Genomic DNA, 19,599 nt, shown 5'->3' on the forward strand with positions numbered 1-19,599 from the left:
CACTGTTTCTGCGGCACCCGATACACTCACCTATGCCAAGGAAATTTTTTTTTTTTTTTTGGTTTCTACAGGACTTGCTGTGCTCAGATCCTCCATTCAAGAGAGCTACAGACACGGGGGTGCTGGTGAGCAGGAGCCGAGACCATCTGGGGTGGGACCGACCAAGAGTTTGAGGTGTCCAGGGGGTGACGTGAAGATGACCTATTGCAGAGGGTCCCTTCTCATTCACGCTCTGAAGTCTGCACAGGGGCAGGGGCTACCGTGCTCCATTTCAGTTTGGCCTCTGTTGTATCAGCCAGAGGCCAGCAGAACTCTATGGTCACTCCCCCGTGTCACGGACAATTTGCCACCTCCACCGGCAGCCCAGGGCTCTGCCTGAATATTCTCGCCTGATCGTAGGATTGTGGGGAGGGATATTCTCATTGATCTCTAAGGAAAATATTGTTCGCTTTTTAAAAACATGATCTGGTACCATTTCATTGATCTCTTTAAGGAAGAAAAATCACATGGTTGTCATGAGCATGTACCGACAGAGCTAGGAGGGCCAGCTGTTCCGGGTTGCCCAGGGCTGTCTTGTTTTTAAAATGGAAAGTTCGATGTCCTGGAAAACCCCTCAGTCCTGGGCAAACCAGGTCACGCTGGATAGAAGGAGTTAGACATTCATATGATGTGCCGATGTCTTGCCAGTTGTAGAGTTTTGTGTAAACCTGTGTGTGGCCTGCGTGTCCACATGGGTGTGTAGGATGGCACCTACACACATACCTGAGGTCACCTCTTGGTCCAGTGAGCCAGAATCCTGGGACTTCATCATCTTTTTTTTTTTTTTTTTTGAGATGGAATCTCACTCTGTCACCCAGGCTGGAGGGCAGTGGCGCAATCTTGGCTCACTGCAACCTCCGCCTCTGGGGCTCAAGCAATTCTCCTGCCTCAGCCTCCCGAGTAGCTGGGATTATAGGCGTGTGCCACCACGCCCTGCTGATTTTTGTATTTTTTAGTAGAGATGGTGTTTCACTATATTGGCCAGGCTGGTCTTGAACTCCTGACCTCAAGTGATCTGCCTGCCTTGGCCTCCCGAAATGCTGGGGTTACAGGCATGAGCTACCATGCCCGGCCTCAGAATCCTGGGACTTCTGCTGGAGCCAGGGGTCAGAACAGACTCCTCTACTGGGACTGCCTGGCAGGGAGGACAGACGCTCAAGGCGGCCCCATGAGAACACAGCCACCTGGAAAAATGGTGGAAGGGAAGATTCTGCCAACCTCCTCCGACTCCCTATCTCAGTTACACTGGTCCATAATTTCTTTTCTTTTTCTTAAGTCTGTTTCATTGGTTTCTGTTCCTGGAAAATGGACACAATTCTGATGAATTCATGTATTCTGCATCCACGTGTCAGCATCTCCAGCCTTGTGACGCAGTGCCTGGCTCAGAACAGGCAATCAGGCCATGGCATCTGAATGAATGAGAGGGTGTGCCCTGGCCGTATCTCAGGCAGCAGATGCATTCAGCTGCAGGTAACAGACACGTAGACAAACAGTGGCTTAAAAAAGAGAGGCTTTAAAAGTATTTTGTTTTTCTTTCTTCACGTAGCAAGAAGTCTGGCATTTGGCATTCCCAGGCTGTGGCGTGACAGCTTTGTGAAGTTATCAGGGTCTCAGACCCTGACATATTTCTGCTCTGCTACCCTCAGCATGTAGATTTGATCTTCACGGCTACAAGAAACCTGCTGCTACTGCAGGCATCTTACACGAGTTCCAGGCAGGAAGAGAAAGGAAAGGGTGACAGAGACAGAAAGCAATGTCCCCAGATACCCTTAGTTTTCCATCTCATAAGCCAGAATGATGTCACGTGGCATCCCTGGATGCACAGGAGGCTGAGAGATAGTGGCGTTTGTTAGCTGGTCTCCTAGCCATCCTGAATGCCAAGTTTGTTATAAAGAAACAGAGGCAAAATGGCGATCAGGCAGGCAACTGGGTGGTCTCTGCCACGGGCCCCTTGGCCATTCTTTGTAATGATGGTCTTTGTCTTGGACCCTATTTTGGATATTTGGGCACCTTTGTGGTACCCTTATGTGCTGGTTTTGCTGTTGTCTGCCCTTCAGGAATAGCAGCTGAGTCAAGCTGTCCTTGGCTGCTCCAATCTGGAGTCAGAGGTTGGAGATTTCCATGGCTCCCCATGGCTCCTTGGGGCCTCCTAAGAAAATGTTTTAATAAGGAAGTCCAAGGCTGAGACAGACATGCTCCTTCTTAGAGACACATGGGAACATGCCTCTGCTCACAGCTGGTAGCCACAGATGTAAACCGTAGCCCATGGAACGGAGACAGTGAAGAATTGATGGATAAATGAATAATGATGATGGACAGCAGATGTATAAAAGGCATAAAAGGATAGTGTTAGGGCTGGAATGTCTTCCCCCCAATTCATATGTTGAACCTTTAATGCCTAATACTTCAGAAAGAGACTGTGTTTGAAGATATGGTCTTTACAGAGGGAATAAAGTTAAAATAAGGTCATTAGGGTGAGCCCTAATCCAAAGGATGGGTGTCCTAATCAGAGGAGGAGATTAGGACCCAGACACACACACACACACAGAGCCAGGTGAGGACACAGGGAGAAAATGGCCACGTACAAGCCAAGATGAGAGGACTCAGGAAGAACCAGCCGACTCCACCCTTCAAAACTGTGAGAACATAGATGTCTGCTGTTTGAGCCACCCTGTCTGCAAGCAGTCAGCAAGCATTCATTGAGTGCTTGCAGTATTCAAGGCACCACAGATACAATGTTGAATAAGGCAAAGCACCTGCCCTCAGGTAGCTTGCAGTCAGGGAGGTAAGGGTAGTGGGCAGAGAGACCTGGAAACAGATATTAGACCTGCACTAAGCATGTGTGGTTATTGAACAGTAAAAATGCCACCACAAATTGCGATATGATGTAAGTAAAATGCGTACTGGCTATTGAAGACTTGGCACAGAAAAATAATGTAAAATCTCATTAGTAATGGTTTTATATTGATTACGCATTGAAATAATACTATTTTGGACAGATTGGGTTAAATAAAATATTAAATTTGATTTCGCCTGTTTCTTTTATTTTCATTACTTATTGGCCATGATATTTTATTTAACTTTTAACTTTTATTTTAGATTCAGTGGTACATGTGCATGTTTGTTATACAGGTAAACTCATGGGGGTTTGGTGTACAGATTCTTTGTCACCTGAGTACTAAACTTAGTACCCAAGAATTATTTTATCTGATCCTCTCCCTCCTCCCACCTTCCACCCTCAAGTAGGCCCCAGTGTTTGTTGTTCCCCTTTATGTGACCATGTGTTCTCACAAGTGAGAACATGTGGTATTTGGTTGTCTGTTCCTGTGTTAGTTTGCTATGGACAATGGCCTCCAGCTCCACCCATGTTCCTGCAAAGGACATGATCTTATTCTTTTTTATGGCTGAATAGTATCCCATGGTGTATATGTACCACTTTTTCCTTATCCAGTCTACCATTGATGGGCATTTAGGTTGATTCACCTATTCCTTTTAATAGGTCTTAATATGGCTAGTAGGAAATTTAAAATCACATAGGTAGCTTATATTATTTTTGTTATGGACAGTGCTGTGCTGGACCTTCATAATGCAGTAAAAGGGTGGCGGGTGAATGCATGGTGTGTTACAGGAACGCAGGAGGGAGCTTCTTGGAGGAGGTTCTTAGTCCATTTATGCCTGAGGTTGCCGTTTTTTAAATTTTTGCAATCAGACCTTGGTGATGACCTTGAGCAGTAGGATATATAAATAACTCCCACATGCTCAGCATTCCAATAATGGAACACTAGGCATAAATGGGTTGAGTGATAATGTTTGGACTGCAAACCAGAACCTATGAGATGCAGCTAAAGCAATTCTTGAAGGGAAAGTTATAGCCTTAAATATTCATATTAACCAATAGAAAGAATGAAAACATATGGATTAGGCATATGGCTCAATATATTGAACATAATAGAAAAAACTAAGAAAAACAGAAGGAAGAAATAAAGATAAGAGAGGAAATATATGCATTAAGAAGCAATAGAATTAACAAATGTACCCAAGTGCCAGATTTTTCAGGGGCATAAAAAAGGATGCTGTTAGTCAATCCTATCAAGAAAAAAGAAGAAAACATAAATGAAATAAAAGTCTATGGGGAAAACAACCGCAGAGACATAAAATGGCAAATAACCACAGGAAACTGGCACTGGGATACATAAAAGATTTTGAGACTTTGAAAACATAGAAAATATAATTTATTTTAAAAAAGACTCCAAAAGAGATGTAAAGTCTAAACAAATTGATTACCATAGAAGAAATAGAAAGTTGTCAAAGTCGACTTTCCTTAAAAAAAAAAAAAAAAAGCATCAGGCCTAGAATGTTTTATAGGAGGATCCAACCACACCAAAAACGAACAGGTAATTAAACACTATTTAAACTGTTCTAAAGCATAAAAGAAGGAATATTTTTAACTTCTTTTTATGTAACAAGCATATCATTGATGCCAAGATCCATCATAGATGGCATGGAAAGAGAAAACACACACCAGTGTTGTTTGGGAACATTGATGTAAAAATATTAAGTCCCTGAATTAAGCAGCACATTAGGGGAGTAAATCATTGCAACAACTGAGCGGAATGGATTCCAGAAATGCAAGGATGGTTGGGTATTAGAAAAACAATTAGAAAAGAGGAAGAAATCAGAGGTGCAAACACTGGGAAGGAAAATCATTATTTACAGAGAGATGGATGATTTTCTTGGAAAATGGAAGAGAGTCAACCAGAAGCAATTGCAAATGCTAATACCAGAATTCAGTCAAGTGAGTGGGTCTAGATCAATACAGAGAAACCATACACACAGCAATCCACTAGATGAGAAGCATGAAAGACCCCATTTATAAGAGCAACATAAAGAGCAGAAACATGGTTGGCCACTGTGGGTGATCAAGTTAGGGCTCACAGTGATTTCCTTTAGTCTGTTTTCATGTGCAATCGCCATGGGTGCTGTAGACAAGATTTATTATGGACACGAGACCCTGACAGTGTCGAGGCTGGTGGAGAAGCCCACACAAAGCTGGTGTTTGGCCTGGGGGCCCAGGTGACCTGCAGGGGAAGCTGGTGGCTTTGCCATGTTGCTGAGACTAGGAGGCCTAGATAAGCTAGAGGAACAGCCTCGTTGGAGGGGCTGTGGCCGGGGACCACTGTGGGCTGGGGACTCCACTTGGACTGTCAGAGCACAGAAGCTGACTCTCCTTCCCCACGGCTGCCAAGTCCTGTGCTCCTGGACCTGTCACTACCGTGGAGCCAAGAAGACACAGAAAAAAGCCATCACATTTTTTGCGGGTGGCGATGGTGGGTGCCTCCATATAGGGTGAGTACTTGGGGTGGAGGGGTTCCCTGGGCCATGGGACTTTCAACACTAAAATGGGGAGGGTCGTGGCCACATTGGGATGGCTGGTCATCCTGTTTATAGGACAGGATGTAGTAAAGTGTAGTAAAGAATCTGACCCAAAGAGAAGTCTAGTCTTTGTCCTTGGTTCCTGGGAGGGGATCTCCAGGCCCTCGGGATGTCCTGCTTGAGAAGAGCATCTTTGTTTGCCTGTCATGAGGGGACATTTGGGTCACGTGGTCTCCTTTTGACCTCTGGAGGGGCAGAAAACTAAAGGTCAGTCACTTGGGCATCAGTGCATCATGCCCACGTGATCGTGATCAAGCCCCAGTAAAAACTCTGGACACCAAGGCTCCGGGGACATCTGCTTGGCAATACTCGACGCATCTCATCACGCACCATTGCTGGGAGGAATTCATGCGGTCCATAACTCCACTGGGAGAAGGAGATTGGAACTTCCTTGCACTCTGCCCCATGCATGCCTTCCCTTGGCTGATTTTAATCCTTTCACTGTAATAAACCATAACTGTAACCATTACAACTTTCAGTGGGTTGTTGAAATGGAGGATGATGAACTTGAGGACCCCTGAACTTCCAATTGCTGTCAGAAGTGAGGGTGGTCCTGGGGACTGTTTCCTAATTTCTGCATCTTCGTTCTCTGTTTCTCCTTCTCTTTCTCCTCCTCTTCCTTGAAAACTGCAGAAGGATATACCATGAGCAAGGATTCTGCCTACCCCAAGTCATCTCATCTCCCTCCATCAATGCAGCCCGAGCTGCCTGTTTCTTGTGTCTCATCCAGAGATATCCCGTGTGCTTCCAGGCAAATGCAAATGTCTTCTCCCACCAACCTCATTTTCTCCCATAATTAATAGCATGTTGCGCATACCCTATCCTTATTGCCCCATATGAATTTTTTGTGGATTTTCTAGTTTTCCTGTAATGAGCATGCATTTTTTAAAAATGAAGAAACAAGTGGGTTACACAGATTGGAAAGTATAGTGAGCAAGGCTCTAAGAAATGAGTAGTTAAGGGTAGTAGTAGTAAGCTTAGGGAGCTGTTGTTCCCTTACGTTTTGAGACAGGGTCTTGCTCTGTTGCCCAGGCTGAGTGCAGTGGTACAATCATGGCTTACTGCAACCTCTGCCTCCCAGGCTCAAATGATCCTCCTGTCTCAGCCTCCCAAGTAGCTGAGACTATAGATGTGCACCACTGTGCCTGGCCAATTGTTTTTTTTGGTAGAGATAGGGTCTTGCAATGTTGTCCAGGCTGGTCTTGAACTTCTGGGCTAAACAATACACCTGCCTTGGCCTCCCAAAGTGCTGGGATTACAGGAGTGAGCTATCACACCAAGGGGTGAGGTGGACTGAGGCCAGGCAAAGGTGAGCTGTGGGCCCTCGGTCCTGGGCACGGATCTCATCACTAGGAATTCCTCCTCCCCATTCCCCCACCAACGGGGCCACAGCCCCGGGAAAGGGGTGGCTCTTCTGGGTCCCCAGACTGCTCCCAGCTTTTCCTCTGTGGAGGCAGGTATGTGAGAAAGGATGCAGCCAGGCAGGTGCAACACACCTGGGCAGCCCGTGGCTGTGGCCATGGCCATGGCCGGTCTGCATGTGGAGGAAAAGATGGTGAGGTGAGACCCTGAGAAACAACTCTCTGATCTCATCCACCTCTCCCCTCCTAGGCGGGACGAGATGGATGCACCCTCTGCCGCAGCCACCTCTTCTGCAGGTGCCCGGCTTCTCCAGACTTGCTATTTTGGAGGGGCAGGTCAGTGGGAACGACCGACTGCCTTGCATCTCAGCCACTCATGGGCCTCAGAGTGTGGGCAGGGGCAGCTGCAGCCCTCTCGAGCCTCTCACTCCCTGCTTGGCCTCTGTAAGCCTGTCCGGGAGCAGCTCACAGAGCCCCTGTGGTGGAGATGAGTCACTTGTTCTAAAAATAAAAGAAGTGAAGTCATGAAATAGTGTATTTCCTTTTTAAGCCCGATGTGCCTGCAGGGGGATCCCCAGCAGTGTGCTGGCGGCAGGGACCCTGACAAGGTCTGGAGCCTCAGAGCGCACCTGCCCCCACTTACAAGCCCCGGCCTCGGGGATTGGGTGGAGTGTCCCCTGCCTCCAACGGCTCCCAGATGAGTGAGTAAAAGATGGCACGTAGACCAGGAGCGGGGGCTGACACCTGCAATCCCAGCACTTTGGGAGGCTGAGGTGGGAGGATCACTTGAGGCCAGGAGTTTGGGGCCACCCTGGGCAACATGGTGAAACCCTGTCTCTACTAAGAATACAAAAAAATTAACCAGCGTGGTGGCACATGCCTGTGGTCCCAGCTACTGGGGAAGCTGAGGTGGGAGGATTGCTTGAGCCTGGGAGGTCAAGGCTGTAGTGAGCTGAGATTGCACCACTGCACTCCACCTTGGGTGACAGAGTGAGACCCTGTCTCGACAAACAAACAAACAGACAAACAGACCGATGGCATGTAAATAGCACCCACATTGGGCAGACAGTCTTAGGCTGTAAGAGAGGGCAGAGTGCCCTGGAACACACACAAGGGAAGGAGCGCTGCTCTCTCTTGGGGTCTGTGGGAGGCTTTCTGGAGCAGGTGTCCCTAGAGGTAGGACTGGGGGGACTCTGCTAGGCTGGTAGGAAGGGAACAGCATTCCAGGCAGAAGGAACGGTGTGAGCAAAGGCCTGGAGGCTACAGAGCTCCCGGCAAGCTCAGGATATGATCCTCTGTAGGTCTCCCCAGACCACCTGGGGAGCTGGTGACACGTGCAGATTCCCAGGCCCGAAGACCAGCTGGACTCCAAGAGCAGGGCCCAGGAATATGACTAATAATTCCCCTGCCTGATTCCCATACCCTGCAAAATTTGAGACCCTCTGGTTCAGATGCTAGTGCATAGAGGAGGGGATGAAGAGACGTACGATGGCAAGGCAGGTTGGGTCCAAATTGTGAGGGTTTTGAGGGTTGTTTAGGAGTTTGGATTTTGGTGTACAGGCAGGAGGGGGCTATCAAGGGTGTTTAAGTAAGGGAGTGCTGCTCCTGGACCTGCTCCTGAGAATGGCTCCTGGGAGTGATGTAGGTGACTGATTGATGGGGTGGGACGAAGCTGGGCAGAGGCTTGGGTAGCTGGGACTGTAACAGTTATGTGAGAGGAAGCGGGAATCTGAGAGAGTTGCCGGGGCAAAATGTAGGCCCCCAGCCCCTGGTTCAGGGGACAGCCCAGGGATAGTCACCAGGGATCCAGCGATGTGTGTGTGTGGAGTGTGAGCAAAAGAGGGGGAATTACATGCTTGTTACCAGAAGTGGGGTCGGAGATGGGGAGAGAGAGAGCAGTTCTGGGTCCTGGAGCAGCAGGGCAGAGGGGTTCTGGAGATGCCAAGTGCTCAGGGCACAGAATGGGGCCCGGATGCTTGATGGGGGTATGGGGAAGTCCTTAGAGAAAACAGAGCCCAACAGTGGGCTTCAGGCACCCACTGAGGGTCTTGGGTGTGGTGCTGGAGGGGCCGGGAGGGAGGGAGAGGGTAGAGAGGGAGAAGGGATTCTGCACAGACTCACCTGGTAGGGAGGTTGTTTCAGGTATATGTTCAGAGCCAACGATGGCCTGGGCTTGAATCCCATGCCCTCCACCTCTACCTGGGTGGCCTGGGCACATGTGCTGAGCCCAGTCTGAAAGTATGAAATGGAAAATTTCAGAAATAAATAATTCCTCAGTTTTAAGTGGCATGCCATTCTGAGTCGTGTGATGAAATCCCATTCCATCTTGCTCAATCCCCCTTGAAGTGTGAGTGATCCCTTTGTCCAGCACCTCCACGCCTTGATGCTACCTGCCTGCAAGTTACTTGGGAGCCCTCTCAGTGTGGGATCCATTTGCTCCATACTGCAGGGCTTGTGTTTAAGGTACCCTCCTCCTCTTTTACTTAATAATGGCCCCAAAGCACAAGAGTAGTGATGCTGAGGTCGGGCGCGGTGGCTCACGCCTGTAATCCCAGCACTTTGGGAGGCCGTGGCAGGCAGATCACTTGAGGCCAGGAGTTTGAGACCAGCCTGGCCAACACAGCAAGACCCCGTCTCTACTAAAAATACAAAAATTAGCTGGGCGAGGCGGTGGGCACCTGTAGTCCCAGCTACTTGGGAGGCTGAGGCAGGAGAATTGCTTGAACCCAGGAGGTGGAGGTGGCAGTGAGCTGAGATAACACCACTGCACTACAGCCCGGGTGACAGAGGGAGACTCCGTCCCCTTACCACCCCCCCCCAAAAAAAGTAGTGATGTTGACATATTGTTACAATTGTTCTATTTTATTATTGGTTATTGTTAATCTCATTTGGTGTCTATTTTTTAGATAAAACTTTATCATGGTATGCATGTACAGGAGACATGTATATAGGTATGTATGTACATAAAAAGTGTATATGATACTATTCATGCCTTCTGGCTTCCCCTGGGGGTCTTGGAATGTGTTCCCTGTGGATAAGGGAGGACCACTGTACTCATAGAGACTGGGGTGCCAGTTACGGAGTTGTGGAGTGCTAGCCCAGAGCTTTGTGAGCCGGGAATGTGGTGGGGTGAGAGAGGGCTTGGCCAAGCTCGGCTGGGATTGCATGGGACATGGGTCTTGCTGGAAGGCAGTGACTGGTGTCTGCATCTCTCCTTTGAACTCCGGAGGTGGGAAGCTGGCTGGAGCCGTCCCCAGGGCAGAAAGAGGAGAAAGGGCATCAGTGAGCCCCTGTGCTGCCCTGTTAGGGGTGGCTAAGCGTGGCTAAGATTCTGCTTTTCCTGTAGGGAGGAGTTATTGTCTCCATTGTTAAGGATGGCAAAGGGAGAGTCCATGGATTGCAGGTGATGCAGGCAGCAGATGGAGGAGAATGAAGCTATTATCTGTTCTGAGCCTCTTTTGTTACACAGCTTCATCTAGTCCCTGACCCATGCACCCTTCTGGGAAACCTACCTCTAACCTCCTCACTCATAAGACAGACACAGGCTGCCCCACCTCCAAAAGTCTGGAAACACCGAGGACACACGGACAGCCTTTGTGTTGTCTAGAAGGCAGCTCTTTTCCCCAAATGCCTGTCCTCCCTTCCCTGGAATCCTTCTGAGGCTAGGACCCACAATGATGGCCTGGCCCAGCACCCCATCCTCCGCCTCCTCAAAAGCATTTGCTGCCTGTCGGGAACACAAATCCCTGTGACCTTTGGCTGTTCCTGTCATGTCCTCAGAAGGACAGAAATTAGCAGGGGAATCAGGCAGTGAAAAATGGCCACCCTCTCCCCCCACTCCCTCTTCTCACAGTCAACAGCAGGGCAGGACGAGGGCTTGGGCTTGGCTGCTATCAGGCATCTATATGGGGTGTCTTTATGGGTGGGAGGGGGTTTCACAATCCACCTTTTGTAAAGCCTTCTGCTCATGGGAGTTTGAGGTAAGCTGAGGTGGGCTGGAGCTGGCATGGGCAGGGGGCAGGTGATGCCATCTCCCAGGTGCCCTGAGGCCTCAGGCCTGAGTGAGCTGTCCCCAGCAGCCCAGGCCATCCCAGCAGTGATCTTAACATTGGCGGCAGCAGGTTCCTCAAGACGTCCTTCCTGATGTCTTCACCCACATCCCCAGGTCCCCCCTCACCCAGCCCCCAGTGTGATGGTTAATACCGAGTGTCAACTTGATTGGATTGAAGGATACAAAGTATTGATCCTGGGTGTATCTGTGAGGGTGTTGCCAAAGGAGATTAACATTTGAGTCAGTGGGCTGGGAAAGGCAGACCCACCCTTAAACTGGATGGGCACAATCTAATCAGCTGTGCCAGCGAGGCTAGAATATAAACAGGCAGAAAAATGTTAAAGGAGAGACTGGCCTAGCCTCCTAGCCTACATCTTTCTCCTGTGCTGGATCCGTCCTGCCCTCGAACATCGAACTCCAAGTTCTTCAGTTTGGGAACTCAGATTGGTTCTCCTTGCTCCTCAGCCTGCAGACGGCCTATTGTGGGACCCTGTGATTGTGTGAGTTAATACACTCCCATGTAGATATATTCCATCAGTTCTGTCTCTCTAGAGAACCCTGACTAATACACCTGGTATCCGGCGGGTGCTCACTGTGACAGTGTGGACAGCTGCCTGATTGCAGTCTTGAGCACCTGTCTTTCTGATGCCCTTTCTCCTCTTTCTGCCCTGGGGGCGGCTCCAGCCAGCTTCCCACCTCCAGAGTTGGAGTTCAAAAGGAGAGATGCAGCCAGCTCCTTCCCAGCCAGCAGATGGGCCAGGGGCCAGCGGAAGGGGAGGGAAAATCCTCGGACATGTGGCCTGGCATTTTGAACTCCCTGCACTTTGTGGGAAAAACAGGCAGTACAAGAGTAATATTCACCTAGAAGTAGAAAGTCAGGGCCGAGGGAAAAAAGCAGCTACGTTAGGAAGGCGAGTCCAGGGACAGATACGTTACCCACCAGGTCCTTCATGATTGCTGTAGCCAAGCTGCAAGTTCCTGGCGGCCAATGGGAGCGTGGAAAGAAGGAAAGGTTTAAGGTTCTCGTGGCCATTGGAGAAAATACTTTAGCTGCTCAGGAAGAGTAAATCTTTCCCTAGCTCTCATTTGTGAAAGAAATTTTCCTTAAGGGGCTTCACCTACAAGTCATCGGGAGTAACGGTGATTGGATTGGTCAGTGTTCTCAAGAGAAGCTGAACCCACAGGATGTGCTGATATACAGACAGAGATTTGTGATAAGGAATTGGCTTGAACCATGTTGGAACTGGCAAGTCCAAAATCCACAGGATGAGCCAACAGGCTGGAGAGTGAGGAGAACCGATGCCATGGTTCTAGTCTGAAGGCTGTCTGTGGTAGAAGCAGGTGGAGCTGACCTCACAGATGGAGCCTGAAGGCCTTCTGCAGCAGAATTCTCTCTTGCATTTGGGTTCTAATCAGGCCTTCCACTGATTGGGTAAGGCCCACCCACATTAGGGAGGGCACATTGCTTTACTGAACATCCTTCAGTTTAAATGTTCATCTCATCCAAAACACCCTCGCAGAAACACCTGGAATCATGCTTGACCAAATATCTGGGCACCCTGTGTCCCATCCAGGTTGCATTAGTCTATGTTCATGCTGCTAATAAAGACAGTACCCAAGACTGGGTAATGTATAAAGAAAAAGAGGTTTGATGGACTTACAGTTGCACGTGGCTGGAGAGGCCTCATTATCATGGCAGAAGGCAAAGGAGGAGCAAAGTCACATCTTGCATGGCGGCAGGCAAGAGGGAGCATGTGCAGGGGCATTCCCCTTTGTAAAACCATCAGATCTTGTGAGACTTATTCACTATCATGAGACCAACATGGGAAAAGCCTGCCCCCATGATTCAATTACCTCCCACCAGGTCCCTCCCATGACATATGGGGATTATCACAATTGAAGGTGAGATTAAGGTGGGGACACAGAGCCGAACCATATCACATGTTGACACATAAAATTAGCCACGACAGGGATGGGGAGTGTTGCCCCCATCTCTACAGCACACACAGCCCTGGACTGTCCAAATGGGTCCCCCAAATGCACTGGGTGCACCATGGTTCTGATTGGAGGAGAGATGAGTCTACTGCCCATCTCTGGGGCTGGCGTGCATCTCAGGGAGGTCTGAGATTCTTCAACTAGGCTGTTGACCATACAGTCACGTGGTGGCATCATTTTGTTGTGTTTTTTTTGTTTTTTTTTAATGAGATGTCAGGTTTGGAAAAGAAGAAGATGAACACATCAGATGCTTGAGTGATTTTAAGGGCAGACGCTTAGGCAAATGCCTGTTGGGAATCTTTGGCTCCCCCAGTCAGCCAATCAGCTCCTTCTCACTTATGAGCCAATGGAGCAAAGGAAGATGGAGTTGAGGAAAAAGGAGTCCCAAGGTCAGGAAGGAGAGAGAAGTCAGTTGAGGAGAAATGGAACCTTGCTTCACCTTAGAGCATTTGCATCATGGTGGTATTGTGTCCCACACCAACCTGCTGGGGCTGCCACAGGGAGCAGGGAGAGAGGGGAGAAAGTAGCTGAGATTCTGCTTCCTCCCAGCCTCCACTCTTACCCTGGAGCCTCCCATTTGCTGAACGTACCCAGAAGCCAGAGGGCAAAGGACTCTGGGAAATGTAGTTCCCTTTGGCATGTGCACAGGCAGGGCAGGGTTAGCAAACCACTTACATACCCAGATGATGGCTTACTCTTTTCCTTCAAGTGTCTGCCCAAGTGTCATCTGCTGGGAAATGCCTTCCTTGACACCAAACCACCCCCTCAACCCTGCCAACCTGGCCTGGCTCAGCACTCTCTATTCTTCTGCTAGCCTGCCTTTATTTTTCATTATAGAACTTAGTACCAGCTGATGTTGCTTTATGTATCTATTTATTGGATTGTCTGGTTCTATTTTTAATTGGATTATCTAGTTCTATTTTTTATTTATTATATTGTCTGGTTCTATTTTTTATTAATTGGATTGTCTGGTTCTGTTTTTATTTATTGTCTAGAATGCAAGCCCACAAGGGCAGGCCATCTGTCTGTCTTGCTCTCTGTCTTGCTCATTTGAGAACAGTACCTGGAACACAGTAGGTGCTCAACCACCATTTCTGGGTAGATAGAATCTTCTCCCAGGTCTTCTCTTCTTTGGGTACATATCCTTAGTTTCTTCAGCCATTCCCCAGGACATGCTTTCTGGCTGGCCCCTGCACTGGCCGGCTTCTCCTGGCCCAGCCCTCTGGGCAAGGCAGGACTGATGGTGAGGGCAGTCCCAAGGTGCCAGCACATCCTGCCTTGAATCCAGTGGCCAAGTGGCCATCAACAGACACAGGCTTAACTCAGCTTCTCTGCAGCTAGTTGAGCTCTCGGTTCTGTTCCATGTGCAGCTCATTGAGCGCTGGGCTCCAGGCCAGTTACCAGGGAGGAGAATGTGGGCATCACTCTTGAGGGGTTAACAGGTCATTGTAAGAGCCAGACACAGATGCATTCTCTACTTCTGAGGACAGTCCTGGGGCCAAGGCTTATTGAGCGATCCATATGGGCCTGGGGGCCTTTCTAAGAACATTCCATGCATCCCTTCATCTGCTCTTCACAGACATCCTTCAGGAAGGGGCTGTCATCATCCCTGGGCTTCAGAGAGGCAAAGCAACTTGCTCCCACCCTTGAGCTGGTCAATGGGCATCTGGGGTGCAGACCTGGTTGATCTGACTGGGGGGCCCTCATCCCTTCACCCCTAGGCAAGCTGTCTTCTGGGCACTGCCAGGCTGAATAGGCAGATGCCCACTACAGAGGGTCAAAGACCTGTGGGGACATAGGATGGGTGGGGAATTCTGCCCTGGTGACACTGAACTCAGCCTTGAGGCTGCAGAATGTGTTGTGGTGGTGGAAGGTGGGGGGCTTCCATCTGGGGGCAGGGCTGAGGACCTTGTGTAGGGTGGGACTGGGGAGGGTGGGTTTGGAGAGCTGGGCTGCTGGAGGAGGGGGATGCCTGGTTGCTGGATCCTGACTGCTTTCAGGAGAAATGAGCTCTTGCTTGCAAAGAAACATCTGTTTGGAGCGCTGTGTGCCTAGATGTTTTTACGCATGCCACACAGAATGCGGGAGAGCCTGACTCCACATTCTCTACGTATTTATTGCAAAATAACCTTATCCTAAGAATAACAGGAAAAATTTCACCCACATTCCCAGTACCCTGACAAATCAACTGTCTACATTTTTCCCGTTCCCCTCCGGGCCACACGCTTGTGCGGACATGACTTTGAAGCCACAGTCAAAGAGCAATTGTGTTTGTGCATTCATTTGTTCAGCAAAGACATTTCCCAAGTACCTATCTCCTCTGTATCAGGAAACTGGCTCCTAAAACGAATGGCCTATATTTTCCTTTAGAGTTTTACCACCTATGTAAATATCCTTTATTAATCAGGGTATATTAACTGTTTTAACAAGCAACCCACTAATTGTAGCACCCTAATTCAATACATGTGTATCTCTTGTTCATGACAGTGCAGGGCAGGTTGGGTTGGGCTCTGCTCCATGCAGCCATGCAGGGACCCAGGCCTTTTTTTCTGAATGGCTCTGCCATCCCCTACAGCCATGGAGTCCTCCATTTGGTGCACTGCATTGGATCGGCAGAGGAGCAAACAGAGAGAAGGAGCAGACTGGATTGTGTAGGAAGCTTTTTTCGGCAGGCCTGGAGGTAGTAAACATCACTTCCATCACATTCTACTGGATGGAACACAGACATGTACCTGTACCTACCTGCAAGGGAGGCTGGGAAATGCAGTCCAGCTGAGTGCCCAGGAATGGGGGAGGAACAGGTTTGGTGATCATCTGGCCAGCATCTACAAGCTTACAACACATTGTTTAGTTCTAAAAAATTGAAGGAAGCACAAAACAAATTGTGTAAGGAAATGGCAATGTTGTCACCAAGAGTTGAAAGCTCCCAAAAAAATATAAAACACAAAGGCCAGCTGAGTTCTGGCAAACTCAGGGCAGCAAGCCAGGCTCTGCCCCTCTCTGAGAGAATTGAAGGTCAGACTGTCAATGGGCAAAGGCATGAGTGAGCCCTGGGAAACTGAGGTCTCACGATAGCTGGGCTATCTGATGAGGCTGACCTCTGGGATCATGGCAGAAGGATGGCTAAAGAGAGCAGGTTGCTTTGCATCATCTGCTTCTAAGCTCACCGTGGCCAATTCCTGCTCTCAAGAATAGATCAAAGTTCTCAACTGGTGGAGGCAGCCCAGCAGGAGAAAGAGCAGGAACTTTGCCAGCCCCTGGTCAACATAAGCCAAGCGAAGATAAGATCCTCACCCCATACTCTGTCCTCAGGTCAAAAGGGGGCACAGTGGCAGCAGAAATCTTGTCACATGGCTGTCATCTGTAACGGCAGCGTTCTATGTGGAGTGCGTCACGGCCATCAGTGATCTTCTGGGGGACTGCCTTCACCTGCTGCTTCCTGTATGTCGAGTCTTCTCTTTCTTGGTTTACCTTCTCAGTTGGGTGTAGCACATCCTTCAGTAGCTTTCTGAGAAAGTGTGGCTCGTAGGCAAATTTGTTAGAGACCTCGCCAGCTGAAGGGATCTGTATTCCACCTTCACACTTGCTTAATAATGTGGCTGGCATAGAAGGTTGGGTTAGGAAATAATTTCCCTTCAGAAGCTCAAAAGCATTGCTCCATTGTTTTCTTGCTTCCAGTGGGGCTGCTGAGAATTCTGAAGCTGTTTTGATAACCAGCCCTGGGTATGTCATGTGATTTTTCTCTCTGGAAGTTTGTAGAATCTTCTCTTTGTCCCAAGTGTACTAAAGTTCCACAATGATGTGTCCATGGGGTAGGTCTATGTTCACCTCCTATGCTGGGTATTTTGCGGGCCTTTTTTTTAGTGCCAGGGAATTACCCTGAATTATTTCATTGATCATTTCTTCCCTGCAATTTCCTCTCTCGTATACATCTATAGCTCCTGTTATTCCTGTTATTTGGATGTTGGATCTTCTGTACTTATTTTCTAGATTTTCTCTTTTTTTATTTTTTTGAGACAGAGTCTCACCCTGTTACCTGGGCTGGGGTGCAGTGGTGCAATCTCAGCTCACTGCAACCTCCACCTCCCGGGTTCAAGTGATTCTCATGCCTCAGCCTCCCAAATAGCTGGGATTACAGGTGTGCGCCACCTCATATCTGGTTAATTTTTATATTTTTAAGTGGAGATGGGGTTTTGTCATGTTGGCCAGGCTGGTCTGGAACTTCTGACATCAAGTGATCCACCCACCTCGGCCTCCCAAAGTGTTGGGATTACAGGCGTGAGCCACCACAACCATTGTCCTTATTTCTCCTCCTCATTCTTGCCATCCATCCTCTCCTCTTTTCCTTCCTCCCTCTTGCCCCCTCTCTCTTTTCTTCTCTATCTCTTTCTAATCCCCTTTCCCTCTCTTCTTTTTTTTTTTTGGCCGGGTGCAGTGGCTCACGCCTGTAATCCCAGCACTTTGGGAGGCTGAGGCGGGTGGATCACAAGGTCAGGAGTTCAAGACCAGCCTGATCAATATGGTGAAACCCCGTCTTTACTAAAAATACAAAAATTAGCCGGTTGTGGTGGCGGGTGCCTGTAATCCCAGCTACTTGAGAGGCTGAGGCAGGAGAATCGCTTGAACCCAGGAGGCGGAGGTTGCAGTGAGCCAAGATCGCGCCACTGTACTCTAGCCTGGGTGACAGAGTAACTCTGTCTAAAAAAAAAAAGAAACAAAAAAAAAGTGTTTTTTTTTTTTTTTTTTCTGAAAAGTCTGTTTCCACCCAGTTATGTGTTTCTGTTGATGTTTTTGTCTCTGCTTTTCATGTTGGAGGCTGTTCACAGAAGTCTGGTAACCCTTGGCTGTCAGGTTATGACAGGTTTGGAGACCAAAGAGCTCACTGGAAGTTTAAGAATGGAGCTTGGCCACCATACCCTTCGTTGTAGGATGATATGGGATATTTTTTGAGGTTCCCTTGAGTTGTGGGATTTATAAGGGCAACTGCAATGAGTTCCAAGGCCCGGAATTCCAAGTTCTGGGTGCATTCAATGTCAGATGGTCACTAGGCCATGGCACTTAGGAATGCTTCTAGGTTATATCTTTTTTCTTAAAGAGAAAAAAGAAAGGCCTCTCTGCTGGGGCTCCCTCACTGACCTGTACTGTGAATTCTCTGAAGCCTCTGTCTGCACCCCAGTCCTTGCCCCCAACCCTCCCGATGTCCTGCATCCATTCCTGCTGACTCCACTTTAAAGCACCCTGGTTTGTGGCCCAGAGCTCTCCCTGGCTATAGTGGCCTCTTTTTTTTTCACTTAATAGAATTTTAAACCGGAAGTGTAATTTACATATGGTAAAAGACATAAATGCTAAAGTGTATATATCTCAACGTATATATTCATGTAACAATCAAATTAGAGACCAAGTTACAGCATTTTCTAGCATATCAGAGGTCTCTCTTAGGGACTAATTTCACTAACTTCTCTCTCCCCCAGGTACCCACTGTCCTGATTTCCATCACCATAGATGAGTTTGGCCTGTTTTTGAATTTTGTATGAGAGAAACATACAGCATGTTCCTCTTTTCATGTCTGGCTTTGTCTCTTAGCATGGCGCCCATCAGGTCCATCCATGGCTGTGTATATCCACGTCCATTCCTTTTCATGGTGAATGGGCTTCCACTGGGTGGACATGCAAGGTCTACTGTGGACAGACATCTTGGTTGTTTTTGGGTTTTGATGATTTTGAATAAAGCTGCTATGAACATTCATGTACAAGTCTTTTGATGGACACGTATGCTAAGTTTTGTGCTATGGGCTTAGGGTAGATCTGCTGGGTCCTAAGGTAAGTAGCAGCTTATCTTTATCAGAAGTTGTCTTACAGATTTCCAAAATGGCTGCACCTACATACATGCCTGCAAGCGTGCGTGAGTCCCAGTGGCTCCAGACATGGTCAGTGTTATTTATTTATTTATTTATTTTGAGATGGAGTCTCGCTCTGTTGCCCAGGCTGGAATGCAGTGGTGTGATCTCAGCTCACTGCAACCTCCATCTCCCAGGCTCAAGAGATTCTCATGCCTCAGCCTCCCAAGTAGCTGGGACTACAGGTGCATGCCACCACACTCAGCTAATTTTTGTATTTTTAGTGGAGATGGGGTTTTGCCATGATGGCCAGGCTGATCTCGAACTCCTGACCTCAGGCAATACCCCCATTTTGGCCTCCCACAGTGCTGGGATTACAGGTGTGAGCCACTGTGCTGGCTGGTCAGTCTCTTTAATGCTCACCATACTGGTCGTGGTGTGGCTACCTGCTGTGACCAGCATGTGTTTTAACCAATCCTAAAGTGCATATTCAATACCAGTCCCATAAAGAATCCCTTGCCAGGGATTAGCGACATATTATTTCTTCTGGAAGCCTTCCCTGGCCCCAGGCTGGGTTAGGTGACCTCCTTGGGGCCCCCACAGCCCTGTGCACCCGCCCCTGTCACACATCTTGTACTATCATCACCTGCTTGAGTTTTCCTCTGGTCTGTGAGCTCCCTGTGGACTGAAATGGAGTCTTATTGTTAAAATCTTGTTGTATAGCACAGATATGGTACAAAAAAGGCACCCAAATATCTATCTGTTGGAGGGAAAGAAAGAAGGAGGGCGGGGAGGGAGGCAAAGAGGAAGGAGGGAACAAAGGGAGAACAGAAGGAAGAAAGAAGAAAGAGCAGGGAAGGGAGGAGAGAGGGGAAGGGAAGGGA

General features: G+C 48.5%; 1 protein-coding gene and 2 long non-coding RNA genes across 6 annotated transcripts in view, besides 1 other annotated feature; 2 read left to right on the forward strand and 1 right to left on the reverse strand.

The window, feature by feature from the left end:
* SMIM38 (small integral membrane protein 38) overlaps positions 1-3,066 on the forward strand; it is a 6,868-nt gene extending 3,802 nt beyond the window's left edge. For all 3 annotated transcript variants that reach the window (NR_161183.1, NM_001394169.1, NM_001369201.2), the window contains one exon: positions 72-3,066. The gene's annotated coding sequence lies outside the window, so the exon portion shown is untranslated. The remainder of the gene's footprint in view (positions 1-71) is intronic.
* LOC338694 (uncharacterized) overlaps positions 1-12,188 on the reverse strand; it is a 24,335-nt gene extending 12,147 nt beyond the window's left edge. The window contains exons 1-2 of the long non-coding RNA NR_104161.1: positions 11,825-12,188; positions 8,955-9,065 (exon numbers count right to left, since the gene is read on the reverse strand). This is a non-coding gene — a long non-coding RNA (uncharacterized LOC338694). The remainder of the gene's footprint in view (positions 1-8,954; positions 9,066-11,824) is intronic.
* Positions 7,207-7,501: an enhancer, noted in NCBI's record as "tiled region #1080; HepG2 Activating DNase unmatched - State 13:Ctcf, and K562 Activating DNase unmatched - State 8:EnhW". NCBI's record gives its function as "activates a minimal TATA promoter and a strong SV40 promoter by Sharpr-MPRA in HepG2 and K562 cells {active_cell/tissue: HepG2 | K562}" and the evidence as "EXISTENCE:reporter gene assay evidence [ECO:0000049][PMID:27701403]".
* On the forward strand, positions 7,427-18,624 carry LOC105369366 (uncharacterized). Of its 2 annotated transcripts, XR_950255.3 has the most exons (4): positions 7,427-7,534; positions 9,740-9,784; positions 16,192-16,320; positions 18,351-18,624. It is a non-coding gene; the product is annotated as an uncharacterized LOC105369366 (long non-coding RNA). The 2 variants fall into 2 exon arrangements; XR_950256.3 differs by lacking the exon at positions 9,740-9,784.
* Positions 18,625-19,599: the final 975 nt, after the last annotated feature.

This window comes from Homo sapiens, chromosome 11 (assembly GCF_000001405.40).
Source record: "Homo sapiens chromosome 11, GRCh38.p14 Primary Assembly".
Lineage (NCBI taxonomy): Eukaryota > Metazoa > Chordata > Mammalia > Primates > Hominidae > Homo > Homo sapiens.